The 23790-nt window shown below is 40.3% G+C and overlaps 1 protein-coding gene and 1 long non-coding RNA gene across 2 annotated transcripts in view; one reads left to right on the forward strand and one right to left on the reverse strand.

The window, feature by feature from the left end:
- The window catches only part of PRIM2 (DNA primase subunit 2), a 425311-nt gene that overhangs the window by 27487 nt on the left and 374034 nt on the right, over window positions 1–23790 (forward strand). The window lies entirely within an intron of this gene.
- LINC03001 (long intergenic non-protein coding RNA 3001) lies at window positions 11498–14320 on the reverse strand. The gene is made up of 3 exons (NR_109774.1): window positions 14277–14320; window positions 13420–13641; window positions 11498–12691 (listed from the first exon to the last, which is right to left on the reverse strand). It is a non-coding gene; the product is annotated as a long intergenic non-protein coding RNA 3001 (long non-coding RNA).

Consider the following 23790-nt stretch of genomic DNA (forward strand, 5'->3'; position numbering starts at 1 on the left):
AACCACGTTAATATACTGGGGAAACAGATTTAGTTAGCTTTGAACCATGATCACAGGACAATTATGAAAACATGCAAATTTGAAAGGCTAGACTCTGACACCACAAATTTTTAAAATAATTCTCCAAAAACATTTGCATCTAGGATGTGACATGCTTAAGGAGTGAAAATCTAAACTAGCTTTTCCTTTCCTTCCCTGCTTCTGCAAAAAGCATATTTTCCCCTTCACATTTGCTGAGCAATTTTTCTTTATTATGCATATTAGGTCAGTTGTGGAAGAAAGAAGTCTTTTTCTAGTAGGATTACTTGTTTCAAAGCTTAGACTAGCTTAGATTGAGGGTAAGAATAGCATAGAACTGTCCAGTCTGAGTAGGGCCAAGTTTGCCAAGAGGGGTTATAGGTTATCTAATGTGACATAAAGAATACCCAGGTTAGGTTGGGCGTGGTGGCTCATGCCTGTAATCCCAGCACTTTGGGAGGCTGAGGCAGGTGGATCGCTTGAAGTCAGGAGTTCAAGGCCAGCCTGACCAACATGGTGAAACCCCTTCTCTACTAAAAATACAAAAATTAGCCTGGCGTGGTGGTGCGTGCCTGTAATCCCAGCTACTCAGGAGGCTGAGGCAGGAGAATCGCTTGAACCCAAGAGGAGGAGGTTGCAGTGAGCTGAGACCATGCCATTGCACTCCAGCCTGGGTAACAAGAGTGAAACTGCGTCTCACAAACAAACAAACAAAAAAAGAATACCTATGCTAACGTGCTGGTCAAAGGCTTGGAGCTACAAATAGGATGGAGACTGGAGATGGCACACTGAGTTTAAGGACCTAGACCTGAGGGAAGAATTTAAATGGAATATTGTGACTGCAAGGTGGGGTGTTGGCTCTGTCATGAGCCTGACACCCATGGCATTACTACACCCTGCCTGAACTAGTTCTTGGCCTTCCTGCTGTTGGGAGGACCAGTATCTAAATGTGTATCTTCCTGTGTTAGTGCAAGTTCCACTGTGGCTTAGATTGTTCATCTGGTGGTTTGGAGCACACATCCTGAGAGATGAACGAATGGAACAATTGTTAGTTTATTGACCTAGTCCTGTGTGCCTGGACACTGCACCAGACAATTGATATACCTTGACTGGTTTTTCATTCCCTAAGTCTTTAATTATTTGGTTTTACAAATATTGCTATTTCTTCAATATGTGAACACTGATTCAGACAATATGTGTCATTTTTCTAGTGCTTCAGATTTGAAATCTGGGAGTTTATTCATTCACTTACTCAGCAAATATGTATTAGGTATTTACTAGTGTCAGGTACTGTGCTGGGCATTGGGTATAAAAAGTAAAATAAAAGAAACATGACCACTATCCTCATGATACTTATAATCCAAGGGAAAAAATTGACTTCAAATAAACAAATGCCTACATAGATATAGATATATAAGATTACAAATTAAGCAGTAATTTATAATAAATACTGTGAAAGAAAAATCGGGGGGTATGAAAAACATGATGACGTAATTTAGATTGAGGAGTCAAGGAAGACAACTTTCTGAAAGTGACATTTGTGCAGAGACCTCAGAATAGGCAACAGTTAGTTAGCCGTATGAAAACAAGGAGTAAAATAATTGCAGACAGAAGGAAGGGCATGAGTAAATATCCTGAGGTGGGAGATGGCTCAGTGGGTTCAAGATACTGAAAGCAACTGGAACTTGGTGGGCGAGCAAAAAGTGGTAAAAGATGAAGTAGTATTTGACTCTTTCCCGTTTTCACTCATCACATCAAATTACAGGTTGAGCATCCCAAATCTTAAAACCCCAAATCCTAAATGCTCCAAAATTAAAAACTTTTTGAGCACTGATATGACATCCAAAGGAAATGCTCACTGCAGCATGTCAAATTTTGGGTTTTTAGATTTGTGATTCTCAACTGATACAACGCAAATATTCCAAAATCTGAAAAAAATCATAAATCTGAAACACTTCTTGTCCCAAGCATTTCAAATGAAGGATACTCAACCTGTAGTTGTTTTTATTTCTCTCTTATAATCTTCCTCCCAGCCATGTCTTCTTTTCTGTTTCTTTCCTACCCCCAAACTCAGGCTCCTATTACATTGAAGCTAAATTTCTGTGTCAGATTTGTAACTGAGTTATCTGCCTCCATTTCGTTTCTCTCCTTGATCCATTTACAGATCATATAGACAAGATTTTTAAAAAAATCATACTTTTATCAATAAATCTAAAGTTCAAAGAGATATTTAGGGGAGACATATAGTCTAACTTACTGTATTAGTTGAGGTAGGTGAACCGCAGTTACAAACAACTCCCAAATCTCAGTGGCCTACCACAATAAAGGTTCATTTCTTGCTGTGTCCGTCTAATGCAGGTTGGCAGGGATGTTCTCTGCCTGTGCAGTCATTTGGTGGCTCATGTCTCTTCCATTTAGTGGGTCAGTCATCCCCTAGGTTTTTGACTCTTCTGTTGAATCAGTCTCAAATTTCTAGAAGACAAAATCTGACTACCTAGCTTGGATCAGATGATTTCCTTTGGTTCTATTAACTGACATGGGGGAAGGGTAAGTTATGTACATCAAACATGGGTGCAGTAGTCATTCTTGTGGGTTGGGGCCATTTATACAGAAGGGGAAATGAGCTGGGCAGATCCCATCAAAAGATGTGTTATTCAGGCAGACATTTTTACTTCATATATTAGATCTTTATATATTTGAAGAAAATCATCCAGTCTTCTTATTTCCCACAAGCTTTATTATTTTCTCATGAGAATGCATATTTCCGCTTTCTTAGGGGCAACATCCAGGTTATTACAGTAGCTTATCAACTTTCCTAAAATTCAGCTGTAAACTTCCTTCCAATTTCACCTGTTGGGTGAATTAACTACACTCTTAATTAATTATTCTCAAGTTCTGAATTCCTGCATGGCTTGATTCAATCAATCAAGCAACCTTTAACCTTGCTTGTACAGTTGCCTAGCATTAATTTTCAGCTTTTCAAACTCCATATCTTGCCCCATTGAAGATGAAGACCATGTCTTATTTGCCCTTTGAATTAATCACAATATAATGCTGACTGTATTCCTTCCTTAATTGTATTCAAAAACTTAATAATCTCTCCTTCCTCAGGAATACTTTCATGTTTACAGAAGGAAATCTTCATTTATCTCTTGATTCTGTGATAAGCATTGTCCTTAATTGGTCTACAGAATGTGTCATTTACTCTCAAGAAATGCAGACTCCAAGTTACCATGTATTGAGGCTCGCTATGTACTGGGAACTCTGTTATGCAATTTTATACGCATTATTTAATCCCACAACAAGCCTATGAGATAGTTACTATTATTATTTCCAAGATCACACAGCTAATCTAATTCTGGAACTTTAGTCTCTTGAGTTTCCAAGCTCTTGCCTTCTTTTTCTTTTTTTTTTGAGACGCAGTCTCGCTTTGTCGCCGAGGCTGGAGTGCAGTGGCGCAATCTTGGCTCACCGCAACCTCTGCCTCCCGGGTTCAAGGGATTCTCCTGCCTCAGCCTCCAAAGTAGTTGGGATTACAGGCACACGCCACCATGTCTGGCTATTTTTTGTGTTTTTAGTGGAGACGGGGTTTTGCCATGTTGGCCAGGCTGATCTCGAACTCCTGACCTCAGGTGGGCTGCCTGCCTCGGCCTCCCAAAGTGCTGGGATTACAGGCATGAGCCACTGTGCCCGGCCTTGCTCTTGCCTTCTTAATTGCAACTCTGTACTGACATGCATGTTAATAAATTGGCCAAACTGGCATTCTCACTGCAGCTCTGTTCTTTTCCAATCCTTGAACCTCTCATTATGGATGCCTCATCTCATCCTGTTGCCTTTTCCACTGTGGGTTGTATTGATCAGAAAGCAGATCTGTTTATGGAAGGAAAGAAAGGTATTGGGTTTAGTAGTTATTAGAAATAGAAATATTAGAATAAAGACAACATTGAAAGAAACAGACAAGAGAAAGAGGATGAGGTTCCCCATGTTTACATTCCTGTGACTCAAGAGTGCAGAGAGCCAAGAACAAAGCTGAAGTTTAGCCAGGGAAAGGAGAGTGTTCAACTAAAATTAACTCTGTAGGCAGCATTCCCAGTTGTTTGAGTTTCAGGATCCCCTCCTCAATTTCCTAAGAAAAACAACATGCAAGTTAAAAAAAAAAATAAACAGTAGTTAGGGGCAAAGAAACCGGTGTAATTAGGGCTAAAGTGATCTGTGGTATCTCTAAATGGTAGCTCCATTTAGAGAATGATCTCAGAGGCAGTTTTGGAAGGGTTTGGATCAGAGCAAGGAGGAGATCATGAGTGCAAGACTATAAACTATGGTCTATAAATCAGAAAGTTTATACTAAATTCAGAAACTTTAATGCTTCTTGGGGACTGTGGGCTTGTTAATATGCTACTGGCCTGATTTTGGTTAAGTCTAAGGATAAACTGGAAAATCATTAGTCCATGTGGCTATATCTGTTCTACCTGGTACTGTAGTTGTGCAGAGGGCTGCTCCCACCCTTCAGCACTGAGATCATGGAGCTCGTTCTCTTGGTGGTTTTCATGATTGAACCTGGATTAATAGTTACTAATTATATATATGTATAACTATCAATAGTGTAATCATGGTTATTATGAAATATTGATATAATTATTAATGCAACTAACTACTCTCCCTATATTCTCTGGTCTCTAGTTTCTATCAAGGAAGACTGAGCCCACACAAAGGCTTAGGATAGGAGGAGAATCAACATTCAGGGCTGCCTCTGAAACCCTTGTGCTATTGTAAACAGATTCCTCTATTCCTCCAGAGAAAGTTGGAAAGTGGAAAAGTTGCCTTTTGCTTCTTAGCCTTAATGCTCCTTCTAGTTTTTGGCTTTAATTGAAATCCCAGTCTCACAGGTTACCAAAGACATTGTTGTCATGATGTTGTGGTGATGATGATGGGTAGGTGGTGAGCTGTTGCTCAGCTGTCTGCACTACAACTTCTAAACCAAGAATTGTCCAACTTTAGTGAACATCATCATTTGGAGGGCTTCTGAAAACACAGATTTCTGAGCTCCATCCTCATTTCTGATTCAGTGGGTTTGGGGTAGAGCCTAGAATTTCATTTCTAACAAGTTCCTAGGTGACATTCATGCTGCTGGCCTGGCAACTACACTTTGAGAATCATTGTTCTACCTCATTACTGATTAAAATGCTCAACTTCCTTTGCAACCCTTGGCAATAACCTATACCATGCACTCTCCAACTAACAGCCCAGTCGCCACATATATACACTTTTGGAAGATATTATGGCAACAAGTCCACTGTTTCCTTTGCTACTCCAACTTCTCTATAACCCTAACTTCCACTATTTCCAATTCTCACACTTCCTCACCACAACTTCACCTACTCTTTGAGCACAAGGACAGTTTTGTGGCAGGCCGGGTCTCACTAACACAGGCCTCTGTAACAACTGTTTCAGCACTGACGGAGTGGCCAAGTTAAATATTAAAAGCTGATCGAGCTAGTGCCCTTATACAAAGGCTGGAATGTAACAAAAGCCCACCAGGAGTTTTGCTCAGGCCTTTCCTGGGCCTTGAAGTGTGACAAGATAACAAATGAATTCTTAACAGAGGCCTGTTTAGGATTAAACAAGTTTTATTGGAGGTCTGAAGAAACTCCCCAGACCTCCACAAACAAGTTTATTGGGGGTCTGAAGAAACTCCCCAAACCTCCATGATTTAGCAGGAGACAAGATAAGGGTAATCACCCAGCACCTGGACCCATTAGGATTAAGTAAATTTACCGAGGCTCCAGAGGAAGGTCTTCAGGATTCAGATCTTAGTTATAGATTAGAAGAAGTTAATCACTTATGTCTTCAGATGAATGCACACTAACACACAGACATATAGCTTAGAAGGTATATAAGCTCTGGAAAACTTTGTAACTTTGAGTTGGCCTGGCGATATTTTCCAGGCCTTTTCCCTGTACCCAGTTACAGAAATAAACTGTCTTCTTTCCCAGTTCGTCTGCCTCTCATTATTGGGCTGCGAGAATAGGCAGCCTGACCCTCAGCTTGGTCCGGAAACAGTTTGGTCACCTCAATTCCTTTATTTAATTCACCTTTTGATCTCTTCTTGGCTTCTAGGCCTTCTCCATACTGCCGAGGATCCATAGTTGATTATTAGAATTACTCTCCATTGGGCCGGGTGTGGTGGTGCACACCTGTAATCCCAGCACTCTGGGAGGCCGAGGCGGGCGGATCACGAGGTCAGGAGATCAAGACCATCCTGGCTAACACAGTGAAACCCTGTCTCTACTAAAAATACAAAAAATTAGCCAGGCATGGTGGCGGGCACCTGTAGTCCCAGCTACTCGGGAGGCTGATGCAGGAGAATGGCGTGAACCCGGGAGGCAGAGCTTGCAGTGAGCTGAGATCCCGCCACTGCACTCCAGCCTGGGCAACAGAGCAGGACTCTATCTCAAAAAAAAAAAAAAAAAGAATTACTCTCAATTTACTTGCATCCCTATATTTCCATCCTATTTCCAATGATCAATGTTAGGTCATTGCCACAACCTGCCTTCTCCATTTTTACACTGGTTGGGGAGGGAGTGATAAAGTTGATAAGAATGTAAACACAAATAACCACAATATACAGCAATGTCCCATTTAAATCATAAGCATAATACAGAAATTCGTGAACTTGTAAAGGCAGGAAAGAGAACATCTAGTTAGAATGATCATAAAAAAACTTCAAGGCTATTATGGCAGATACAAATATGAATAAGACACTACTAGACTTTTTTAAGCCCTTAAGTATAGGAATGGCATAATTTATATTCATTTCACTGATAGCACCAAGCGCTTTTCAAAAGAGAATTAATGAATTATGTCTCCTCTAGTGTGATTCTTTATCTATTACACAGTGCAGTGTGAAATGCCCTAAGGGGGCTTAAATGCTGAGTAAACAAATTTTTAAAAGCAATTTAGACACGCACACACACACACATACACACACACACACACACACACACATTAGATGTACAAGCATAGAAAAGTCTTGGAAGGATAAATACTGTCTTGCTTTATCCATCAGCATACTGATTACAGTTGTGATGAGGTAAGTACCCACACCTTTTGTAATGTAAAATTGTGCAGCAAAACAGCAAAAATAAAATATTACTTGGGGGAAAAAGACAATTAACTTGTTTTTGGCCAAAGGTGATAGAAACAATAATACTTGCATTTCCTGAGGCCCTACCATATGTCAGGCATATGCCACCTTATTTACCCCTCACCATCACCCTACAGGGCTATATTATGTATTATCTTCATTTTGCAATTGGGAATAGTTATTGTATTTCTTCCATTATAAGATCAAATTTAAAAATACTTTAAATCATTGGAATGTGTATGCATGTTATCATTTATGGTGTCTTAGACTTGATAAAATAACGTAAGTCACATTATTATAAATCATTAGATATAATATTCTAACTTATGGTTTAATTGGCTCTAAATTCTGTGCTTTTCCTCCATTGGATTGCGTTATCTTTTCTAACAAAAGTAGACTTTTGCTCCTTCTCCAAGTTTTCTTTCTCTCTTTCTCTTTCTCTTACACACACACACACACACACACACACACACACATGCCATGCAGGCACACACACACAGTTTTTCCTTTCTCTTTCTCTCACTTTCACACACACACACACACACACACACACACATACACTCTTACATCTTAGTCCAAAGTAAAAATATCCTGCTTATCAGATGCTCTGCCTTATTTTCAAGGCTTATGCTTATTTTGAGTGTAGCCATGGTGAACTTCATCTATCTAACTGATGTGCTAGTCTAGTCTCCTACCTACTGCTAAATTACTCAATTAACCTATTTTGTTCAATTCCATTTTAGCCACAACCCTTTAGTTTCAGTTGCCTTGACATTGGGGAAAAAAACCCTAATCTTTCTTATCTATTTGGTTAATTGGCCAAATTAATTCTGACAGATATCACATAGGTATTTTTGTTTTTCTTGGGGCAGCTAGCCACCCTGGGCCAGTGCTTCTCAATCTGGGCACACAAGAAACAACTGGTGTATCTTCTTGAAGCAAGAGTTCTCCTTGAAGATTTACTTGAAGAGAAAGTTGAAGCAGGACACTGAAAAATGTAGATGAAAATCTTTGAAAGAAGTATTTTTTATCTTAAAAGAAAAAAGAAAATATTATGAAACAGAATAAAATATCTGTAGGCATTTTTTTTTTTTTTTTGTGAGATGGAGTCTTGCTCTTGTTGCCCAGGCTGGAGTGCAATGGCGCAATCTCGGCTCACCGCAACCTCCACCTGCTGGATTCAAGCGATTCTCCTGCCTCAGGCTCCTGAATAGCTGGGATTACAGGCACCCACCACCAAGCCCGGCTAATTTTGTATTTTTAGTAGAGACAGGATTTCTCCATGTTGGTCAGGCTGGTCTTGAACTCCCGACCTCAGGTGATCTGCCCGCCTCGGCCTCCCAAAGTGCTGGGATTACAGGCGTGAGCCATCGCGCCCAGACTGTAGGCATTTTTAAGGCACAACTTTAATGGAATTTTGAACTGGTGGTAAACTACTCATGGTAACCTGTGGTTGAAACCATAGGCTTTGGGGCAAGACTGAAACCTAGCTCCTCCCTTTTCTAACTGTACCCTGGGGCAAGTTGCTTAGCCTTTTTGTGTCTCCATTTCTCATTTGTAAAATGGGAATAATATCATCTGCCTCATAGAGTTATCATGAGAATTAAGTGACCAGTATATGTTAAATGTTGGAACAGTGGGTCGTTCATAGTGAATTCTCCCTAATGTTAGCTATTTTCATTTTCATTTATATTTCTAGATATCCCAAGGGTTATTATTTTGTCCTCCTCTTTTGTTAAGTTGTCTCAGAGCAAAAGTTTGAGCAGCCCTGCCTTAGTCCTTCCCCAGGATTCTCTCCAGTATGCTGCACTTGGTTCTCATCGGCTGGTCTTTTGTAATGTTTCAGGAATGCACTGTTTTCCTTTTTCTCTTCTCTGTCTCTTTTTTTTCCAGCACCATTAAAAACAAAGAGTAGCTGTTTTAGGAATTTGGGAAGTGAAGAAACAAGACATTCGACTGTGAGTTTCACCCATGTTTAAAACGAAATAACCTAACAATCGGGAGTGGCGTGCTACCGTTAAGATTTTGGAGGTAGAGACGTGAAGATTTTCAGTCGCAACTCCCTTTAGAACCATGGCTTGAACCCGTAAAGTATGAGGGCTGCCCATAAAACTTTCTCTTCTAAGATGTGGGATATGTGTAGTCTCATCTAGTTATGGCTCATCTGGGAATGGATTTTCTGACGCAAATGAGGTTTAAAAAAAAAAGGCATAGTGTCTCTTTATTTGGTTAACACTATTTCTGCACTTTGTTTTTCCTTGTCAGCTTTAAAAGGAAGAGAACAAAAGCCAACCACCCTGCCAAAACTTGGCAGTAGAATTTCAGTGAGTGAAAATTCTCCACCTACAGTAATGTTTGAAGTGGTTGCACAGTGAGGGCCCCCCAGCCCCCACCCCAACCCACCCACCCCTCCACTGCAGGCCATTCTTGACCTGTTAGGACACCATCTTATGCAAAGTTAAGAAAGCCCAAGAGCCTAGAACCCACAGAAAAAGGCCAGTGTAAGACTAAGGGCATCTATCCCCTGTTCTTTTTTCCCTGTTCCATCTGATATTATCTTTGGCTCAATAGTCCTAGAACTCAGAAGGCTGATACTCCAATGTACCCTAGAATTGCTAGACTCAACTCTACCATCTCCTCCGCTCCCAGAACCTGGACTCTTGGAGGGCAGACAGCAGGATAGGAGCAGCCTCAAGGACGGGAAAGCAATGGAGACTGACCTATCCTTTGCTATTTCCCTTTGCCACCAATATCTTCTAGTTATAGGATTTTTGCACCTAGAAATAAAATATACAAATATTGACCATAACTTACAGTAATTCAGTGCTTCTAAGTTCCCATGTACCATGGCAAACACATGGATATATTATAGCAACATCATAAAACAGACATGATTATTTCTATACCAAGGATAAATCTCAGGTTTAGAAGAAAGGTTGGAAAAATTCTTGAAGGTCACAAGCCAGAAGTACATGGCACTGAAACAGATCTGACTCTTGAGTCCAAGCCTATTGTATTGACTTGCTATCAATGCATAACAAACCGCATCACACAAAACCAGTAGTATCTTTGAGTCATCTTGGGGGTTGGCTGATTTAAGCTGGGCTAGGCTAGGTGGCTGGGGTAGCTCTGCTCTATATGCCTCTCATCTTCCTCCTGGGACCAGTAGGTTGCCCTGGACATGTGTAAGAAGAAAATTGGAAATATGCAAGGTCTCTTAAGGCCTAGGCTTGGAACTGGCACACTAATTTCTGCCTCATCCTGTTCGTCAAGGCAAGTTACAAGGCTGAGACTAATGTCAAAGAGCAAAGAGACATACCTCATTTTTTTTTAAGAGATAAGGGTATGCCTGTTGATTAGGTTGTACTCAAATGCCTGGGCTCAAGGGATCATCCTGCATTGCTGGGACTACAAATGTGCACCACTGTGCCCAACTGAGATATACTTCACCTTTGTGGGGTGTAGTGGATGCTGAGGTGCACTTCCTGGTCCCTTTCCAGAACCAAGGCACTTACTTTCTCAGCTGCTAGGAATATTGCTTGCTGATGATGGCTCACCAAGTCCACTGACTCCCATCCTTTCACCTCCACCCTCGCCCTGGAGTCCCCATCCCACTGCCCACCAGGAATTGTCCTCAGCTGAAGGGCACTGCTTTGCCCAAGGGTGCCCCTATGGTCAACCCACATTCAAAGACTAGTCAGATGTGAGTATGAAGTCTGACCTCTTGCCTCAATTCAAGACATCTCTGAAGAGCTATCCTAGCATCAGAGCTTCCCATAGGATTGGGTGAGGCCTGGGTTGCAATTAAATTAGTCCCATTTTTTTCTGTGTCAATCTTGCTTCCCCTATTCCCTTAAAATGGCTGTTTCCAAGAGCATTCCTCAATAATTACTCTATGAAATCTAACCTTCAACATGAGAGGGACTCCAAAGCCAATGGTGAAGGGCAAAGATATAGTATAGGAAAGAATCAAAACCAATAACGCAATCTACCACATCTTTGCATTTAAGAAGTAGATTAAACTGCATCCCAGGTCCAAAAACAAAAGCATATAGTGGAGCAGACAGAATCTCTGTCTGACATGTCTTAATGTATATCTAAACCATTGATATTGGACCTTGAAATATATTTGACTTGGAAAAGGCATGTGGTCCTGAAGAGTTGTGGGCAAATGGAAACTTTGTAAATTGAATTAAATTCCAAATGCATGGTGGGGGTTTGGTATTCTAAAGTGAAAAATGTGGTGAATTATTTTATGAATAACCATTTTAATAACATTGATTTTTCTATGATGAGTTTTACATATCAGCAATTTATTTCATTTTTATGAACCCATTCTATTTTTAAAATAATTCTGTGTGTGTGAAATTATAGCATGATGTCATACGTTTGTTTTTTGGTCTCCAATCCTTGGTGGATTTCCTTTGCATAAATTTTAAGTTTACATGAACCTGAAAAGATTCCAGGGACTCTGGGCAAAGCCATGGGTGCATGGTTGTTGGAAATGGGTACAATGGATATAAGTAGCCGGGCAGACAAACATCCCAGGAGAAGAAATTTTGGCCAGGTCATGTTCCTTTGTCCAGTAAAAAAAGCAGGAGGAGAGAAAATAGATAATTTACTGTACTCAGGGATAGGGATTGATAAAATAGCTACAGCAGAAGGAAAAGTCAGCAGGAAAATCAAGAATTCTAACAGAATATTGCGGATATGACTGTTCATGATCTCCAGGGGTATGAAGGGCAAGCCAGGCTAAAAAGTGGACCAGAACACTGGTGGTTGAGGGATTGGAGGCCCCAGTGAGAGGAGGGAATAGGCACACAGCAGTGACAGATTCAATGGAAGTTTTTCCATATTTATGATATGCAAGCCATGTGTATTTTCATTTCCCTCATGCTTTTCTGTGAAGGTTGAGGCTCTCCCATGTGATAGTTTCCTCTATCAGTCAGGATTCTAAATATTCTTGATATTTTAAAGAAGAGATTTAATACCAGGAGATGACAAAGGTAAGAAGCCTAAAGTGGGAGAGTAAGGCATCCTTGAGATTATCAAGAGCAGGAAGCTGCTACCACTGCCTAAAGCTTAAGGGACAAAAGGAGCCAGGCCACCAGGGAGAAGTTGGAACCACAGAAGCTCTTGGAGCAAGAGCTGGGTCCATAGAAGAGATGGCCGCTGCCAGAGACAATACTTGAAGCTGAGAGAAGTGGGGAAAAATACCCAGCTTCTCCCTTTCTGCTCTCTCTTCAGGGCCATCCAATGGCTGAACTGACCCAGAAACCAGAGGGCAAAGGAACAAGGAAAAAGTAATTCTCTGTGATACGGAACAGGGTAGAGCGGGGACAGGGGATAAATCTAAGAGCAAAACAGGACAAGACTAGCACATGGCCTCAACTTCTCTGCTCTCCATGGCAATGTCTTCCTCCTCTTCTGTTTCCAGGAGTCTCTAATTCCTGCCACTTATTGCCCCAGGCTCCCTTGATAGCTGGTTTCCAGGTGGGGGCACAGCCAATGGGTGGCAGCAGCAGGAGACTGGGAGATAAAAGGAAAGGTTGGGTTATTTTTCCCCATTCCCTCCCTGCTTTGGAGCCACCTCTCTGGAAGGCTCCCTCCACCATTATAGATCCTGCTGGTGGTCTGTCTTCCGTGGCTCCAGGTCTCACCAGCTCTCACCAGGTCTCTCTCTAGGAGTGGTTTCCTTCTATTGCTGGTCTCTGGGTGTCTCAACATCCCTTGCTAATTCCCTTAATTCTGCCCACAGCTATGTCAGCAGTATCTTTGTTAAAGTCCCTTCATTTGAACAATTTGGCTTGAGTTCTGTTTTCTGCCAGAACCCTGGCTAGTATCCTGACCTACTGTGTTCTTTTCCAAGCTCCTTTCAAGTGTCATATTTTCCCCACTGTTGCCCAGATCAGCAGTGTGGTATAGTAGAAAGAATACTGGACTTACTGGCAGACAGACATGGTTTTATTTCTGATTCAGTCACTTACAGAGTTACTGGCTGGGAAAGTTATTTAACCTCCTGAGCTTCCGTTTTCTTGCTGGTAAAGTGGAAAGGGGATAATGATGAATTTCAGTTGGATATATTAGAAATCCGTGCCTGACCCATGTGTTCCAGGCCTCATCTGCCAGTTGTCTTTTTTTTTACATACCGATTATTTATGGCGTAAATCCCCTTCCTACTCGACTGAAAGAAATGAACCCCCTTCAAAGTATTTCCAGTTATTTCTAGAAGTTTCCAAAGAAGTTCCCTTGCTCACCAGTCGTTCTTTCACAGTTGCCATCGTCTTCTGCCCTGTTATTTTGCTTCTGCCCCAGCTCCCACATGTCCAGCTTCTGCTTGCAGGGCCACTTGCTGAGGCTTTGCCGAGGCTGAAACTTTTCCAGGGTCACTGTCCATCATGAGAACACAGCACATGCCAAGGGTGTTGCCTCTTAGTGTTCCCAAAGAGTCTGGTCCTTGGGAAGCCTCCATTTGGCCTCTGTGGTGCAGAGAGGAGAATGTCCTTCCCTGGCTCAGCCCCAAATAGCTGGGCTTGTGCCTAGAGCCTCTGAGAGTCTCTTTGACTATTTCCTCAGCTAATTTCACATGTAAACAAAACAACTCACAGAGGTTCTGCAACCTGCTTCCACCGTCTTTCTAGAAGGAGGTCAGAAAGGGAACAGATGCTTTGCCCTTTTCCCCTCTCCCCTCCACAGCTCTCCCAACCCCCAAACCCATCTTCCTCTTCTATTTGCTAAACTAAACATTTTATACTTATCAACCACTGTGGGATGGAAGTGGGATGGTCAAGGAGGGAGGTGAGGTCTAGATGACTTCTGTATATGAGCCAGAGTCCAATCCATTTATATATGAATGACTCCTAGTACAATATCTGACACAAAGTGGATTCTCAATGGTTGATGAATACTATTATCACGTAAATAGGAAACCACATTTCCTACCATTTAGATAGTATAAGTTCTTCAAAGTTCAATTTATGTGTCATTTCTTACCAGAAACCTGGCCCTAATCCCAGTAGGATGAGGTTACTCTTTGCCTCTGTATTTGCTTCTTAGGGCTATGGTTATAATATACCAAGAATTGGCTTAAAACAACAAAAATTTATTCTCTCACAGTTCTGGAGGCTGGAAGTTTGAAATCAAGACATTGATAGAGCCATCCTCTCTCTGAAGGCTGTAGGGAGAGTCCTTCCTTGCCCCTTCCCAGCTTCTGGTGGCTCTTGGCAATCCTTGGTGTTCCCTGGCTTAGAGCCGCTTCACTCAAATCTCTGCTTCTGATGTTGCACAGTCATCTTCTCCCTGTGTGTCTTTGTTTCCACGTGGCATTCTCTTCCCTTATAAGGCCATCAGTCACAGTGGATTGAGGCCCACTCTAGTAACCTCATTTAACTTGATTATATCTGCAAAGGCCCTGTTTCCAAATGAAGTCACATTCTGGGATCCTGAGAGTTGGGATTTCAAAATACCTTCTTGGGGGGTGCAATTCCACCCACAACACCCTGCAATAAGATTTTAAAATTGAATAGCAGCAATCTTATTTCTCTTTTGACATCTATCACATCTAGCTTATTTTATAGTAATCTATCTTTTATCTCCCCCTACAACACTGAACAGCCCAAGGACAAAACCTGTTTCTGATTCACTTTTGTGTCCCTGACAATACCTACATGTCCCATAATAGGTTTGATAGGTACTAAGTGACCGGGCTGAGGCTTGCACCCTCCCCTCCTGACTCATGATCAATCCTTCAGACTAGAGCGTGCTGCCACCAGCCTGGTACATGTATTTGTGAGTTCCTTGGGTTTCAACTCCTTGGTTGATTTATTTTTTGAAAACACTATATATCAGGAAGATGGGTTTGGCTAGCTGAAATAGCTGGTTATAGCTTGCCTTGGGTGGTTAAATATTTATGTCTTCTGAGAGTGAACAATGGGCTTTACTCTACCAGGGAAATAATCTTGTTTGTCCCCATTTATTGGCTCTTTTTTCCTCTTTTACATTTTCAGCATCCTAATGATGTCCTTAGTGATAGTTGCTATGGAAGTATTTTAGTGTTTTCTGCAGTGTTGGGTGGTGCAGTACCTGAAGCCCTCTTTAGTGTGTATTTATAATGACACCAAGCCATGAATTTCATTTTAGTGGTAGCTTTCTTGCTTAATAACTGGTTGTCGTCGGGGGAGTGGTCTGCATTTATTTTGGCCTCCTGATTTATCGCACTGATTTTTCTTCTCCTTTTCATTGTTCCTGGAGTGCTCGTCATCACTTCAAATACTCAACCCATTATTTCACAGAATATAATGACAGAGCCAGCCCCATCATTTTATCATTGAATACACTGGTAAACAGTTGCAACCCCTCTAATACCAATGTGATGAGGGGTGATTTAAACTTGTAAAAGTCAAACGCTTTTTTTTTTTTTTTTTTTTTGCGATGGAGCCTCACTCTGTTGCCAGGCTGGAGTGCAGTGGCACAGTCTTGGCTCACGGCAACCTCCCCCTCCTGAGTTCAAGCGATTCTCCTGCCTCAGCCTCCTGAGTAGCTGGGACTACAGGTGCGCCCCACCAAGCCCAGTTAATTTTTGCATTTTTTAGTAGATATACGGTTTCACCATCTTGGCCAAGATGGTTCCAATCTCTTGACCTTGTGATCTGCCCACTGGCAGATCTTGTTTGTCCCCATTTATTGGCTGGGATTAAAGGCGTCAAAAACTTTTAAGAATGTATAGTTTGGAGACTGAGACTCAGTAATGGGTGGAGGAGAGAAAACTGGGATATCTAGAGAATTGGATTGTGATGTCTTCCGTAAAATAGTAATAGTAGTACATGTTCTACCTACTTGATAGGATTGTTATGAGGGTCATGTGATTAATGTATGTGAAAGCAATTTGTAAGCTGTACAGTGCTATAAAATGTTTATATATGTTATCATTAATAACAACTAGATTGTTAATAGTCCTGATTGCTTTTGACCTGGATGTCTATGGAGAAGCAGCTTAATCTCTGGTGAAGACATGACTTGACCTTTTTACTGAACCATGTGGGCAAATGATCAGGCCATTATGCAGTATTTTCAAGGCCATCAGGTTGTCTGTGTTAGCCTCTTTCATTCGACTCTTACCTTTTATTTGGGGAGGAGAAGGGACAGTATGACTTTAATTATTAAGCTGAAGAAGTGGAGAAATCTTGATTTCTTGAATAGCTTTTTCAAGTCAGCTCTTTAATATAAAGTCTCTCTGGTGCATCTGTTGCTAGCTTGCCACGTTGGTATGTGCCATTTTAATTTTGTTCCTCCAAAGGTTTGGGTTATTTTTCCATACACTTTGGTTTACGGTAGACGCTCAACCACTTACTAGAATAGAACACACTTAGGCATGTAGACTTTGACAATTCTAGGGAAAAGTTGTGAATGCATTTAGTGATTTGATTTGTGTGTTTTAGTTTAAGTAATCTATCAATTTATCCTATAGATAGCCCAGAAATTGATGTCACTGCAATTAAACAGAATTTTTTTATAAAGAATTCTGTGCCTGACAACTCTAGACATATTTATTATGCAGCTTCTCTTAAAGGATTTTCAATTTGCTCATTTGGAGCAAATTTTGTGTGTTAAATGCAGTTGGTTCCTAGACACTGACTCATTTTCCAAATCTGAGTACACTTTTTCCTCAATTGACTTTCCCCTGCCAGTATGTCATCCAACTATTCTTTAATGTACTGTCAAAATATGGTCACCTCATCATTAACAGGAAATGGGCTTCTTGCCCAGTCTTATGAAAGTAGAATAAAATCAGACAGTTTGATTTTTAAACTATAAGAAAAGGAGAATGAAAAAACAGCAAAACTTAACTAATTTCCAAGCTCAGGGCTATTTATAAAGAGCTTGAACAAATAAGACACCCAGAAACGAAAGGAAAACTGCAATTTGCTTGGCTTTGTGTAGAATACAGAAGAATTTCCATTTTACTCTAAATATAAAGTAGCTGCAATGTGAGTCAACATAAATAAAACAAAGAAACCAAGTCTTTATGGAAGATGACAGCAGTTTCATGTGGGCAGCTTCATGTGTTTAAGCATCTCAATGTGAAAACTTGGCCATTTGCTCAAGATTGTTTCTCTGTATTTAGATTTTTGGTGCAAATATCATCTCTGTCTCTAGGAAACAAACCCAGACGGCCTACAGAGTCAAGAATGAAGAATTCATTTTACTGAAATGTTAATGTCAACTCTAAAAATATCAGAGTTTTCAATTTTACCTAATCAAATAATCAGCTCGACAATTTTTTTGCAACCACAGTTGCTTATAGGGCTGACCAAAGTGACGATTTGTTTAAGACCAAGTTCAAGGTTAGTTAAACATATAACATATAGCGCAGATTTCATTTAACCATGTGGATAATTCAGCCAAATATGTTTTTCATGAATTGCTGTGAAAAAGAGTAATTTGCCGCATTTGAATTATCTGATTACCTGTCCTGATCTTCTACTTCACTTTGAGTGTATATGTAGACTTTATTAGAATAACATTTTGTAGTGTAAAAATAGTCTATGTCGCCACAGCTTCTCTCTACTTGCTAGTTCAAAGCTTTCTCTTTAATTTTTGATCAGTGCCAATTTGGAACCGATCTCTTTTAGCTCAGTTTCCTCATTTGTGGAGTGGGTATCTTAACGTCCAAAATAATAAATGATTAAAAATAGTTAAAAAAAGTTAAAAATAAATGATTAGTGGAATGATGAAAAGTACTTCACACAGAATCCAGCATATAGTGAATGCTCAATGAATTTTAACTATTTTGACTTTTACTGTTAAAGATGTGACGTGGGAAGTCATTAAACCTTTTGTAGCTTAGTTCTTTAGGTATGAAAGACAAATGTCTTGATATAAGTCTAAAAATGTTCTTAAAATGCATGCAGTGCCTCCACATGCAAAGTGAAGCACAGAATTTAAGTAATTACCTTCATTAATTAATCAATGCATTGCTTTACCTAATAGGTTGATACATGTTTTAGAGCAAAGCTTGATGCACAAAGGTCCACTTTGCTTGGATATTAGTTTTATTGTCATTTTGCCATTTTTTTGGTATTCATTATCTACTGTGATGGGACAAGAATTTGGGTGAAAGTAGTTTACTTGGGAGGTGATCCCAGGAGGCATGATCAGGGAGTGGGCAAGTAAGACTGGCAAAAGAGGAACACCATTAAAGGATACATTGAGAAGCGGGTTACTGTCTTGGGCAAGTGAGCTCAATCCCAGTGGCATCTCTTTGAGAGGCTGCATAAAACCTTTGAGCAACCTCATCCATTTAGTCCAGCACTGTACTAATATTATCACTTTCTACGAGCAATACCACATGAAAAAATTTGGGGAGCATTGCTATAAAGAATGGTTGAGAGTGCTGAAGAGAAGCCAGGAAAATAAAAAGCAGAATAAATAAGAATGGTTGACATGCACGGTGGCTCACACTTGTAATTCCAGCACTTTGGGAGGCGGAGGCGGGAGGATCACTTGAGGCCAGGAGTTAAAGACCAGCCTGGGCAACATTGCGACACCCCATCTCTACAAAAAAATTTTAAAATTAGCTAGGCATGGTGGCACATGCTGGTCTCGAAAACCTGGCCTCAAATGACCCTCCCGCCTTGGCCTCCCAAAGTGCTGGGATTACAAGGGTGAGCCACCGTCCTGGCCTGGTTACATTTAACTATGTTGCAGAGAAGATCGTGGATTCATTCAAAATGAAATCATTGTTGCTGGGTTCTTGTAAAAGTAAGGTTGTTGAGCTATGGGCATTGAGCATATGAGAACAGAAACATAATCCTTTTAATCTACTCAGCATTTTGCAGGCTTCAGAGGAATAATGGCTGTTGTTTCTGGCTTTGCAGTTCAAGTGAGATGGATTTAGAAGAGCTCCAAGCACATTCCTAAAGTATTAGGTGGTTGGAAGGTTCTATGAGTTACGTAGTTGTTACTTCAGTCTCCAGCGGAAGGGAGGAGACATGTCTTCCTAGTCATATTCCTCCTTGGTCTCAAAAAACCACATTTTGTTCCCTTCAAGTCAGGAATGTAGCCAGAATGCCCACCAGGTGGTGCTCCAATTACTTTACTGTATAACATTTTGTGACCTCCTGTAGGATATAAGAATATTAAATGTTAGAGTTAAAGGCAGAAAATATTCTGTAACTTGAGCCTCAAGATGTAAAGACTTCATATATTGAGAAGACTAATATGGCTTTTAAAATATCACATGACATCAAAATGTCTATGCATAAAAGGTGAAAAAAAATGCTATCTCAGAGCCAAGGTTAACATTCTTGGTAGAAAAATAGATTACAATCAATATTTTTTAATTGAGTTTTAAAAAGAATTCTGATGCACTAGGTTCTGAGGCATTACAAGGATATATATGTATATATATATGGCAATTTCCCCCCACATTTACTTATTTATTTTTAATTTTATTATTATTATACTTTAAGTTTTAGGGTACATGTGCACAACGTGCAGGTTTGTTACATATGTATACATGTGTCATGTTGGTGTGCTGCACCCATTAACTCGTCATTTAGCATTAGGTATATCTCCTAATGCTATCCCTCCCCCCTCCCCCCACCCCACAACAGTCCCCAGAGTGTGATGTTCCCCTTGCTGTGTCCATGTGTTCTCATTGTTCAATTCCCACCTATGAGTGAGAACATGCGGTGTTTGGTTTTTTGTCCTTGCGATAGTTTACTGAGAATGATAATTTCCAATTTCATCCATGTCCCTACAAAGGACATGAACTCATCATTTTTTATGGCTGCATAGTATTCCATGGTGTATATGTGCCACATTTTCTTAATCCAGTCTATCATTGTTGGACATTTGGGTTGGTTCCAAGTCTTCGCTATTGTGAATAGTGCTGCAATAAACAAATGTGTGCATGTGTCTTTATAGCAGCATGATTTACAGTCCTTTGGGTATATACCCAGTAATGGGATGGCTGGGTCAAATGGTATTTCTAGTTCTAGATCCCTGAGGAATCGCCACACTGACTTCCACAATGGTTGAACTAGTTTACAGTCCCACCAACAGTGTAAAAGTGTTCCTATTTCTCCACATCCTCTCCAGCACCTGTTGTCTCCTGACTTTTTAATGATCGCCATTCTAACTGGTGTGAGATGGTATCTCATTGTGGTTTTGATTTGCATTTCTCTGATGGCCAGTGATGATGAGCATTTTTTCATGTGTTTTTTGGCTGCATAAATGTCTTCTTTTGAGAAGTGTCTGTTCATGTCCTTTGCCCACTTTTTGATGGGATTGTTTTTTTCTTGTAAATTTGTTTGAGTTCATTGTAGATTCTGGATATTAGCCCTTGGTCAGATGAGTAGATTGCAAAAATTTTCTCCCATTCTGTAGGTTGCCTGTTCACTCTGATGGTAGTTTCTTTTGCTGTGCAGAAGCTCTTTAGTTTAATTAGATCCCATTTGTCAATTTTGGCTTTTGTTGCCATTGCTTTTGGTGTTTTAGACATGAGGTCCTTGCCCATGCCTCTGTCCTGAATGGTATTGCCTAGGTTTTCTTCTAGGGTTTTTACGGTTTTAGGTCTAACATGTAAGTCTTTAATCCATCTTGAATTAATTTTTGTATAAGATGTAAGGAAGGGATCCAGTTTCAACTTTCTACATATGGCTAGCCAGTTTTCCCACCACCATTTATTAAACAGGGAATCCTTTCCCCATTGCTTGTTTTTGTGAGGTTTGTCAAAGATCAGATGGTTGTAGATATGCGGCATTATTTCTGAGGGCTCTGTTCTGTTCCATTGGTCTATATATCTGTTTTGGTACCAGTACCATGCTGTTTTGGTTACTGTAGCCTTGTAGTATAGTTTGAAGTCAGGTAGCATGATGCCTCCAGCTTTGTTCTTTTGGCTTAGGATTGACTTGGCGATGCGGGCTCTTTTTTGGTTCCATATGAACTTTAAAGTAGTTTTTTCCAATTCTGTGAAGAAAGTCATTGGTAGCTTGATGGGGATGGCATTGAATCTATAAATTATCTTGGGCAGTATGGCCATTTTCATGATATTGATTCTTCCTACCCATGAGCATGGAATGTTCTTCCATTTCTTTGTATCCTCTTTTATTTCATTGAGCAGTGGTTTGTAGTTCTCCTTGAAGAGGTCCTTCATGTCCCTTGTAAGTTGGATTCCTAGGTAATTTATTCTCTTTGAAGCAATTGTGAATGGGAGTTCACTGATGATTTGGCTGTTTGTCTGTTATTGGTGTATAAGAATGCTTGTGATTTTTGTACATTGATTTTGTATCCTGAGACTTTGCTGAAGTTGCTTATCAGCTTAAGGAGATTTTGGGCTGAGACGATGGGGTTTTCTAGATATACAATCATGTCATCTGCAAACAGGAACGATTTGACTTCCTCCTTTCCTAATTGAATGCCCTTTATTTCCTTCTCCTGCCTGATTGCCCCGGCCAGAACTTCCAACACTATGTTGAATAGGAGTGGTGAGAGAGGGCATCCCTGTCTTGTGCCTGTTTTCAAAGGGAATGCTTCCAGTTTTTCTCCATTCAGTATGATATTGGCTGTGGGTTTGTCATAGATAGCTCTTATTATTTTGAGATATGTCCCATCAATACCTAATTTATTGAGAGTTTTTAGCATGAAGCGTTGTTGAATTTTATCAAAGGCCTTTTCTGCATCTATTGAGATAATCATGTGGTTTTTGTCTTTGGTTCTGTTTATATGCTGGATTACACTTACTGATTTGTGTATGTTGAACCAGCCTTGCATCCCAGGGATGAAGCCCACTTGATCATGGTGGATAAGCTTTTTGATGTGCCGCTGGATTTGGTTTGCCAGTATTTTATTGAGGATTTTTGCATCGATGTTCATCAGGGATATCGGTCTAAAATTCTCTTTTTTTGTTTTGTCTCTGACAGGCTTTGGTATCAGGATGATGCTGGCCTCATAAAATGAGTTAGGGAGGATTCCCTCTTTCTCTATTCATTGGACTAGTTTCAGAAGGAATGGTACCAGCTCCTCTTTGTACCTCAGGTAGAATTCGGCTGTGAATCCATCTGGTCCTGGACTTTTTTTGGTTGGTAAGCGATTGATTATTGCCTCAATTTCAGAGCCTGTTATTGGTCTATTCAGAGATTCAACTTCTTCCTGGTTTAGTCGTGGGAGGGTGTATGTGTCAAGGAATGTATCCATTTCTTCTAGATTTTCTAGTTTATTTGCGTAGAGGTGTTTATAGTATTCTCTGATGGTAGTTTGTATTTCTGTGGGATTGGTGGTGATATCCCCTTTACCATTTTGTATTCCGTCTATTTGATTCTTCCTCTTTTCTTCTTTATTAGTCTTGCTCGTGGTCTATCAATTTTGTTGATCTTTTCAAAAAACCAGCTCCTGGATTCATTGATTTTTTGAAGGGTTTTTTGTGTCTCTATTTCCTTCAGTTCTGCCCTGATCTTAGTTATTTCTTGCCTTCTGCTGGCTTTTGAATGTGTTTGCTCTTGCTTCTCTAGTTCTTTTAATTGTGATGTTAGGGTGTCCATTTTAGATCTTTCCTGCTTTCTCTTGTGGGCATTTAGTGCTATAAATTTCCTTCTACACACTGCTTTGAATGTGTCCCAGAGATTCTGGTATGTTGTGTCTTTGTTCTCATTGGTTTCAAAGAACATCTTTATTTCTGCCTTCATTTTGTTATTTACCCAGTAGTCATTCAGGAGCAGGTTGTTCAGTTTCCACGTAGTTGAGCAGATTTGAGTGAGTTTCTTAATCCTGAGTTCTAGTTTGATTGCACTGTGGTCTGAGAGACAGTTTGTTATAATTTCTGTTCTTTTACATTTGCTGAGGAGTGCTTTACTTCCAACTATGTGGTCGATTTTGGAATAGGTGTGGTGTGGTGCTGAAAGGAACGTATATTCTATTGATTTGGGGTGGAGAGTTCTGTAGATGTCTATTAGGTCAGCTTGGTGCAGAGTTGAGTTCAATTCCTGGGTATCCTTGTTAACTTTCTGTCTCGTTGATCTTTCTAATGTTGACAGTGGGGTGTTAAAGTCTCCCATTATTATTGTGTGGTAGTGTAAGTCTTTGTAGGTCACTAAGGACTTGCTTTATGAATCTGGGTGCTCCTGTATTGGGTGCATATATATTTAGGATAGTTAGCTCTTCTTATTGAATTGATCCCTTTACCATTATGTAATGGCCTTCTTTGTCTCTTTTGATCTTTGATGGTTTAAAGTCTGTTTTATCAGAGACTAGGATTGCAACCCCTGCCTTTTTTTGTTTTCCATTTGCTTGGTAGATATTCCTCCATCCCTTTATTTTGAGCCTATGTGTGTCTCTACACATGAGATGGGTTTCCTGAATACAGCACACTGATGGTTCTTGACTCTTTATCCAATTTGCCAGTCTGTGTCTTTTAATTGAGGCATTTAGTCCATTTACATTCAAAGTTAATATTGTTATGTGTGAATTTGATCCTGTCATTATGATGTTAGCTGGCTATTTTGCTCGTTAGTTGATGCAGTTTCTTCCTAGCCTTGGGGGCCTTTACAATTTGGCATGTTTTTGCAGTGGCTGGTACCGGTTGTTCCTTTCCATGTTTAGTGCTTCCTTCAGGAGCTCTTTTAGGGCAG

The sequence above is a fragment of the Homo sapiens genome, chromosome 6 (assembly GCF_000001405.40).
Source record: "Homo sapiens chromosome 6, GRCh38.p14 Primary Assembly".
Taxonomy (NCBI): domain Eukaryota; kingdom Metazoa; phylum Chordata; class Mammalia; order Primates; family Hominidae; genus Homo; species Homo sapiens.